This window comes from Homo sapiens, chromosome 1 (assembly GCF_000001405.40).
Source record: "Homo sapiens chromosome 1, GRCh38.p14 Primary Assembly".
NCBI classification, from domain to species: Eukaryota; Metazoa; Chordata; class Mammalia; order Primates; family Hominidae; genus Homo; species Homo sapiens.
In genome coordinates, this window is record NC_000001.11 from 160,107,670 (window position 1) to 160,115,249 (window position 7,580).

The 7,580-nt window shown below is 51.6% G+C and overlaps 6 annotated features.

Annotated features, from left to right (window-relative positions):
• Nucleotides 1,290-1,584: an enhancer, noted in NCBI's record as "tiled region #5459; HepG2 Activating DNase unmatched - State 5:Enh, and K562 Activating DNase matched - State 12:CtcfO". NCBI's record gives its function as "activates a minimal TATA promoter and a strong SV40 promoter by Sharpr-MPRA in HepG2 and K562 cells {active_cell/tissue: HepG2 | K562}" and the evidence as "EXISTENCE:reporter gene assay evidence [ECO:0000049][PMID:27701403]".
• Nucleotides 1,373-1,422: an enhancer, noted in NCBI's record as "active region_1913". NCBI's record gives its function as "activates an Ori minimal core promoter by ATAC-STARR-seq in GM12878 lymphoblastoid cells {active_cell/tissue: GM12878}" and the evidence as "EXISTENCE:reporter gene assay evidence [ECO:0000049][PMID:35858748]".
• Nucleotides 2,080-2,601: an enhancer, noted in NCBI's record as "H3K4me1 hESC enhancer chr1:160079539-160080060 (GRCh37/hg19 assembly coordinates)". NCBI's record gives its function as "activates a minimal SCP1, AML or CMV promoter by ChIP-STARR-seq in primed H9 embryonic stem cells {active_cell/tissue: H9 hESC(primed)}" and the evidence as "EXISTENCE:reporter gene assay evidence [ECO:0000049][PMID:30033119]".
• Nucleotides 4,350-4,969: an enhancer, noted in NCBI's record as "H3K4me1 hESC enhancer chr1:160081809-160082428 (GRCh37/hg19 assembly coordinates)". NCBI's record gives its function as "activates a minimal SCP1, AML or CMV promoter by ChIP-STARR-seq in primed H9 embryonic stem cells {active_cell/tissue: H9 hESC(primed)}" and the evidence as "EXISTENCE:reporter gene assay evidence [ECO:0000049][PMID:30033119]".
• Nucleotides 4,970-5,589: an enhancer, noted in NCBI's record as "H3K4me1 hESC enhancer chr1:160082429-160083048 (GRCh37/hg19 assembly coordinates)". NCBI's record gives its function as "activates a minimal SCP1, AML or CMV promoter by ChIP-STARR-seq in primed H9 embryonic stem cells {active_cell/tissue: H9 hESC(primed)}" and the evidence as "EXISTENCE:reporter gene assay evidence [ECO:0000049][PMID:30033119]".
• Nucleotides 6,210-6,828: an enhancer, noted in NCBI's record as "H3K27ac-H3K4me1 hESC enhancer chr1:160083669-160084287 (GRCh37/hg19 assembly coordinates)". NCBI's record gives its function as "activates a minimal SCP1, AML or CMV promoter by ChIP-STARR-seq in primed H9 embryonic stem cells {active_cell/tissue: H9 hESC(primed)}" and the evidence as "EXISTENCE:reporter gene assay evidence [ECO:0000049][PMID:30033119]".

Here is a 7,580-nt window from a genome sequence, read left to right on the forward strand (position 1 = left end):
CGCAGCCCCCCTACTTGGGTAAGCTGAGGATCTATGTGCCTCAGTTTTCCCATCTGTAAAATAGAGTTGTGAGGACTAAGTTAAGTACTACATGCTGTCTTCATTAGTTCTGGAGACTGGGAAGTCCAAGATCCAGGTGCTGGCAGATCCAGTATCTGGTGAGGGGTCCCTTCCTGGTTTGCAGATAGCCACCTTCTTGCTGTGTACCCCACATGATGGCCAGCAGAGAGAAGAAGAAAGCTCTCTCATGCCTCCTCTTAAAAGAGCACTAATCCCACCCTCATGACCTAATTATCTCCCAAGTGCCCCACCTCCTAATACCATCACATCAGAGGTTCAATCTGTAAATTCTGGGGAGACACAAACATGCAATCTACAATAAGTGCTCACTAACCGTTAGCTATGATGAGCTACAGATCTTAGGGACAATATAGTTCAGTGGTTCTCAAATCTGCCTGTTGATTCATCTGGGGAGTTAAAAAAAATACCGATGCGGCTGGGCGCAGTGGCTCACACCTGTAAGCCCGGCACTTTGGGAGGCCAAAGTGCGTGGATCACGAGGTCAGGAGTTCGAGACCAGCCTGGCCAACGTGGTGAAACCCCGTCTTTACTAAAAATACAAAAATTAGCCAGGTGTGGTGGTGCATGCCTGTTATCCCAGCTACTCAGGAGGCTGAGGCAGGAGAATCGCCTGAACCTGGGAGGTGGAAGTTGCAGTGAGCCGAGATTGTGCCATTGCACTGCAGCCTGGGCGACAGAGTGAGACTCAGTCTCGAAAAACAAAACAAAACACTGATGCCTAAGCCCCACCTTAGATCAATTAAAAACATGGTACCTGAAGATGAGGCCTGGGCATGGGATGTTAACATGAAGCTAAGGGTGAGAATCCTTAGCTAGTCCAACCCTCCACCCACTACTTTATTGACGAGAGGTAAAGGACTTATTCAAGTGCGCACAGCTGGTTAACTGTAGAGCAAGTCCCACACTGAAAGCCTCTGCCCTCCCTCTAGCCTAATCCAGAGTGATTTCCAATACGATTTCCAATACGCCATTGCGCAGCCTTTGCTCCCGCGTCATTGGGTTGGGAGAATCATCTAGGCAGGAGGCAGAGCCAGGCCCACTCAACCTCACTCAGCAAAAGTAGAGGTAAAGAAGTGGGGAAAGTTTGAGGAAATGGAAGTGGGGAGTCCCTAAGGACTATGAGCTTGGGAGGACAAGGTCAAGAATGGATGGGGGGATTTTGTGACTAAATGGCATGAGATTCTGAGAGAAAAGACAATGAGGGTGGGGATCTTGTTTGCCTTGATTGTAACTGTCTTTCTAGTACCTTGCACAGAATATAGCATAAAGTACGTGCTCAACAAATGTTTGTTGAATGTCTAAATGATGCAATAACATCAAAAAGCACATGTTCTGTTTATTAAGTCACCCAGAGGGCACTCACATTCCTCAAGGGGGCAGTGGTGAGAACATCCAGAGGGGAGCACAAAAGTAAAAGAATCTTGGACTTTCAGAGACACTGAGGCACAGAGGAGGCCAAGCTCCCTGAAATTCCGAGGAGAGGCTGCTATGTGGGAGGGAGGCAGTGGCCCTGTGTGCCAGATGTTTGCAGGGCATCCTGAACTCTCTGAGCATACAGAATGCCACAGGGGACAGGCAGATAAACAGAGCTGTATCCTGGGCCAAGTGGAGGGGGCCTGGTAAGGGAAGAGGGAGGTGGGAAGAAGGAGGCTGGGGGCCAAGCCAGCTGCCTCTTGATAGGGGGAGCGGGGAGGCGGGGTGCTCTGGGCCAGTGGTTGGTTCAGATCTCTGGCCAAAGCAAACCTGCCTCAGGGGGCTGGGGGACCTCTCCCTCCCTGCCCGGATGGAATCAAAGGCTAACAGGAACCCTGGAGGGTCCAGCTGTGACCCTTGCTCCTCACACTCAGCAGGGCCCATTAACCCCGTCCTCCCCATATCCTCAACACACTTTTCCCAGCCCAAAGAATCTTTGCAAACAGACTCCCCTGGTATTTGCTGATCAGATACCAGCCAAGAGATGTCAGGTTTTCCCAGTCTCACCACCAGCCCTGCCTTCCTCCCCCAAAGATACCCAGACCCTGTCCCACCTCTCACAGCGGTGCTCTGTAAGAACCCAGGGTAGCCTTTGCTCAAACCGGAGCCCTTCCTTTTTTCCATGCCAAGAGTTAAAGGGATTCGATTCATTTCTATGAGTCATAATAATAAACAAAATAGGAGCACCTGCCTCCATGCTCACAAACAAGACAGGACAACCTACCCTCTTGGATCTCCTTCTGAACCCAGGTCTCCAACTGATGGTTCTCACACAGGTACAACCTGCAGGTAACTCCTGCTGTTTACCTGAGCTGAGCTGTGCGCTGAGGCAGAAATAGCCTGGAATTTGGGGATCATCAGAACTGGAGAGGGACCTCAGAGATTTTCTTTTTTTTTTCTTTTTTTGAGACAGAGTCTCGCTCTGTCACCCAGGCTGGAGTGCAGTGGCGCAACCTCAGCTCACTGCAACCTGCACCTCCCAGGATCAAGCCATTCTCCTGCCTCAGCCTCCTGAGTAGCTGGGACTACAGGTGTCTGCCACCACGCCCAGCTAATTTTGTGTGCATGTGTATTTTTAGTAGAGATGGAGTTTCACGCATTAGCCAGGATGGTCTCAATCTCCTGACCTCGTGCCTCCCAAAGTGCTGGAATTACTCACAGATTTTCTCATCCCGTTCCTTGTCATTCAGATGAAGATGCCAAGGTCAGAGTAGAGAAGCCTCTTGTCCAACATCACACAGGTGGTTAGTGGCTTCAGCAGGACTAGCCTCAGCTGACTTGACTTTCAGGCAAGAGTCCATTGCATTGGACCACGGTGGGGACTGTGAGAGGACAGGAGGGAAAGCAGAGGCACAGAATAGCCCAGGCCTTCATGCTCCTGGGAAGGGTTGACATGGGTTCCCTGGGCTACACCATGGGTCCTTTCCTTTTTCTCCCTTGGGACTTCCACGTGAAGAAGGCACAGGCAGAACACAACATGGAGCTATCTGAATCCAGAGAGAAGTAAGAACGAAAGGAGGTGGGAATGCAGCACAGGCAGAGGCTGGGGAAAATGCTTCTGGGTGCTTTTACATCCTATTTTCTAAATTCTATACAGTGTGGTTTTAACAATAAAGAGGATAATAAAAATACTCTGGGGAGAGATTAAAATGACAGAACCAGCTGGGTGTGGTGGCGCATGCCAATGGATGCACAACTCTGGAGGCTGAGGCAGGATGACGGCTTGAGCCCAGGAGGTCGAGGCTGCAGTTGATCATGCCGCTGTACTCCAGCCTGGGTGACAGAGTGAGAATCTGTCCTTTTTTTTTAAGGGAGAGAGAAGAAGAATTGTTTTTTTTTGTCTGTTTATTGTTTTTTGTTTGTTGTTGTTGTTGTTGTTGTTGTTTTTGAGACAGGGTCTCACTTCGATTGCCCAGGCTGGAGTACAGTGGTGCAATCTTGGCTCACTGCAGCCTCTCAACCTCCCTGGGCTCAGGTGATTCTCCCACTTCAGCCTTATGAGTAGCTAAGACTACAGGTGCATGCCACCACGCTCAGCTAATTTTTTCGTATTTTTATTAGAGACAGGTTTCACCATGTTGCCCAGGCTGGTCTTGAACTCATGGACTCAGGTGATCTACCCACCTCAGCCTCCCAAAGTGCTGGGAAAACAGGCATGAGCCACCGCGCCCAGCCAGCAGAGATTTTTAGAATCTACTTTGAGTAGACTGAAAAGAAAGACCATGTTGAAGGAATGGTTTAACAGATAAAGAAAAAAAATAAGATAAAAATAAAAGAAAGACCAAAAAGAAAACGGAGGAGCAGATGTTAAAGGAGAGATGGGGAGAAAATTCAACACCATCCTTGTAGTCCAGTGAGGAAACTGACACAGCAGCAGGACTTGGACAGCCACTCTGGGGCTCTGAGCCCAACCTTTTTATTTATTTATTTATTTATTTATTTATTTATTTATTTATTTATTTTTGAGACGGAGTCTCGCTCTGTCGCCAGGCTGGAGTGCACTGGCACGATCTCGGCTCACTACAACCTCCGACTCCCTGGTTCAAGCGATTCTTCTGCCTCAGCCCCCCGAGTAGCTGGGATTACAGGCATGTGCCACCACTCCCAGCTAATTTTTATATTTTTAGTAGAGACGGGGTTTCACCATGTTGGCCAGGATGGTCTCAAACTCCTGACTTCATGATCCGCCCACCTCGGCCTCCTAAAGTGCTGGGATTACAGGCATAAGCCACCCCACCTGGCTGATCCCAACCTTTTAACAGGTCACTATAACCTGAGGGAGTGGGAGGACAGAGGGCTGGAGAGGCAGGGAGAGTGAGAAGTCATCTTTCTTGGACACTTGTCATGGCCAGTCCAGGCCTTCCCGGCTCCCCTCATCTCATCCCCCAAGGTGGGCTCCCTTTGGAAGCAGAAAAACTCCACCCACACTCCCAGAAGACCTCAGAAGCCTGATAGCAGTGACAAGACCACAGGCCCTAAAGAAAAAAAGAAAGGAGAGTTAGAGGGAATGGAAGAAGGAGAAGAAGGAGAGATGCCCAGAGGGGGGTTGGCAGCCGAGAGGAGGACCAGAGGAGCAGGGCTGGAGAGCTGGGCCCAAATCAGGACTGGGGGAGAGAAGTGGGGTGCCGGGGCGGGAGGAGGGACGATGGGGGTGATAGAGCCTCCCAGCTCTTCCTTCCCTCCCACTCTCCCTCCTCCTCTCTCTCTTTCATGATCTTGAAACAACCTTCAAGTCTGGGCTGGAGGCCCCAGGAGGCCAGTCACTTAGGAAACAAAACTGTTTCTTGGAGACCTTGAAAGCCCATCTGCAGCTGAGCAGCGTCCCCACCCCCTCCCTGTGCACACACACATTCTCCCATGGACTCTCACGTACACCCACACCCGGCTTCACATGAGCTCCCCAATGGCCCACATGCACGCACACACGGACTCCACACTTGATCTTAGCCAAAAGGCCGAGAAGCGATGCGCACTCACGGACTCACACGCACCTCTGTACTCATGCTTGCATACAGACAACCGATTCATAGCAGATTGGCCACACATCCGAATGAGTGTTGTCCTCTCCCCTGAGGAGCTCCTCCTTTGGAATGTGGTTTGGTACCACCACTCCGTCTCATACCTCACACAGGACCCAACGCTCAGGTCCTCCCAGTCATTAACTAGCACACATCTGTACACAGGCACATGCACACTCCTGTCTCTCTCCAACTGTCTTGGTCTCTCTCTCTCTCTCTCTCTCTCTCTGTCACACACACACACACACACACACACACACACACACACACACACTTCTTACCAACCAAATATTTGATTCAGGACCACTCCATCCCCACTTTGCCCTTGGTGGATCCCCCTCCTGATCTGTGACTTTCTCAGCCCACTCCCCAGCCCAGGCATCTTGGCCTTCCATCCTCCTGCTTTCAAGTCTTTCTTTCTCTCTCCTTTGCTCCTCTTACTCCAAGGGCCTTGATCCAAACTGGTACTGCTGACTGTGTCTGAAGAAACAGTAGCCCAACCCAGGCACTCCAGATCAAACGATCAGGTGTCTACACCTGTTAATATCCTGGAGGCTGAGGTTCATGGTGGACAAGAAGGAGGTAGACCACTCCAGAGCCTCAGCTCTCACTGGGCAAGGAGGGTGGTCAGTGATGCACGGTGGAAGTATAGGCCCTGGGTGTCCTGCCCACTCTTTGATTTCTCTGAGCCCTAAATATGTGAGCAGCAGCGCCCCTCGGGCTGTGCTCTCGCCCAAATGCAGGGCATGGCAGGGAGCCCCAGCAGGCTGTAGGGGCAGAGGAAGGGCACATCCTTTCCGGTATTGAGTTTGGCCACAGGGACCAGAGCCAGGGCCTTTGGAAGGACTGGGCAGTACTGGGAGGTGCCAGCAGGGGTGAGGGGTGGGATGAAAACTGTTAGAGTGCTTGAGGTTTGCACACCTTCAGATTCGGGGACTGACGTTTTCTCTCCTATCTCAGGTTGTGTTCTGGAGAGGGCTGGGCAGAAGATTACCCAGGAATTCCAACCCAGGAACCTACGGAACAGGCGCTTCCTAAACCCCAATTTATCATGTTGTTCCCACAGCCCCCAGGCAAGCCTGCCCCAATGTTGATCTCCCTAGCTGCCTCGGGGCCACTCTGGAGTGACTTTGCTTTAGACAGTCTCTCCTGGTGTCTAACCACAGGCTTTCCCGCTACTCCCCTCTCACTCTCTCCTTAACACACAGGGGCTGAACTGGTATCTGTTCCCTTCATTGTTTCCTCCCTCTGCCCATTCTCTCCCAAGACCAAATCTGAGCTCGGAGAGGGGGGCCATGAGAAGGCCCTGTTGGCCCCATCCTACCCACCCTTTCTGACTGTAACCCAGAGAGGGAAGGAGCGTGGAAGTGAGATGTGACCTACCAGGTCCCTGTAATGGAAAATCTCAACTGCAGGCCCGGAGGGGGCCAGTTATTTAGGGAATTCAGATGTTAGCCTTGTGCCCTGAGAGTGGATTTGCTAGAGGAGAGGCTGATAATCCCTCTGCAGGGAGTTCCCTCTGGGGCCAGAGATGGACCCAGCCCAGCCAGCAGGCACCTTAGGCCTCTGGCCAAAGCCCCCCTTCCCTCCCTCCCTTCCTCTCTGCTTTCTTTGCACTCAGGACACTTAGACCTGCCCCACTCCGCTGGCTTCCCCTCACTCCATCTCTGTGCCCAGAGAAACAGGGGTACTCCAGGGGAATCCTGTCCTCTGACTGTTCCCAGTAGAAGGCGGGAGCAGAATTTTTTCTTTTCTCTCTGCCCCTTCTGGGTTCCCCTTCCTCTCTGTGCCCCTCATCCTTTGGATTACTCATCAAATGAGCAGCAACAACACCCCTAGACCAGCTGGTCCTGTCCTGGGTCATCTCGTTGTCCCCAGTTTCTAGCTGGTATAAGGTTAAAGATACCCTTTCCAGCCCCAGGCAAAGCCTTAGGCATTTCTGGGATTGCTCCTGACTCTGATGGGCATCCTCACTCCTCAGACATTTCCAATCTCCCCCACTTCACTGCAGAGAGGCCTGTTCTCCAGCCTCAGTCCTGCATGCTGCAGCTTTGCTTCCCCTTCCCCACTGGAAGAAGGAAACAGTCGCTCTCCTTTCCCGTTCACATGTCTGATATTTGCTATGATATTGACCTTCACACACATCTTAGAGGTTCTGTATTTTCCTCTCTTTTGACTTCTCCCTATCACTACTCTACTCAGGCATAGATTCAGTCTAGAGCTCTTCAACAGCAATGAAACGGTAAACGAGGGGTAAACAAAACCCAGAGATGTCATCAGGTGCCTGCTAGGAGTCCCACCCGTTCCCCTCTAGCCCTGGCCTGCCCCTCCCTACCAGAGTCTTGATTCTCCTTCAAAACTTTGGAGAGGTTACATCTGGCAGGGTTTGGGGACACCCTCTTGCCTCCATCTCCAAACTTCCCGCTGCCTCCCGAGCCACCTTTGACTCCTCCTGGGCCCCCCTTCCAGGTGCCTCAAGTGCAGAGGTCAGCCTTCGGTTCAAATTCT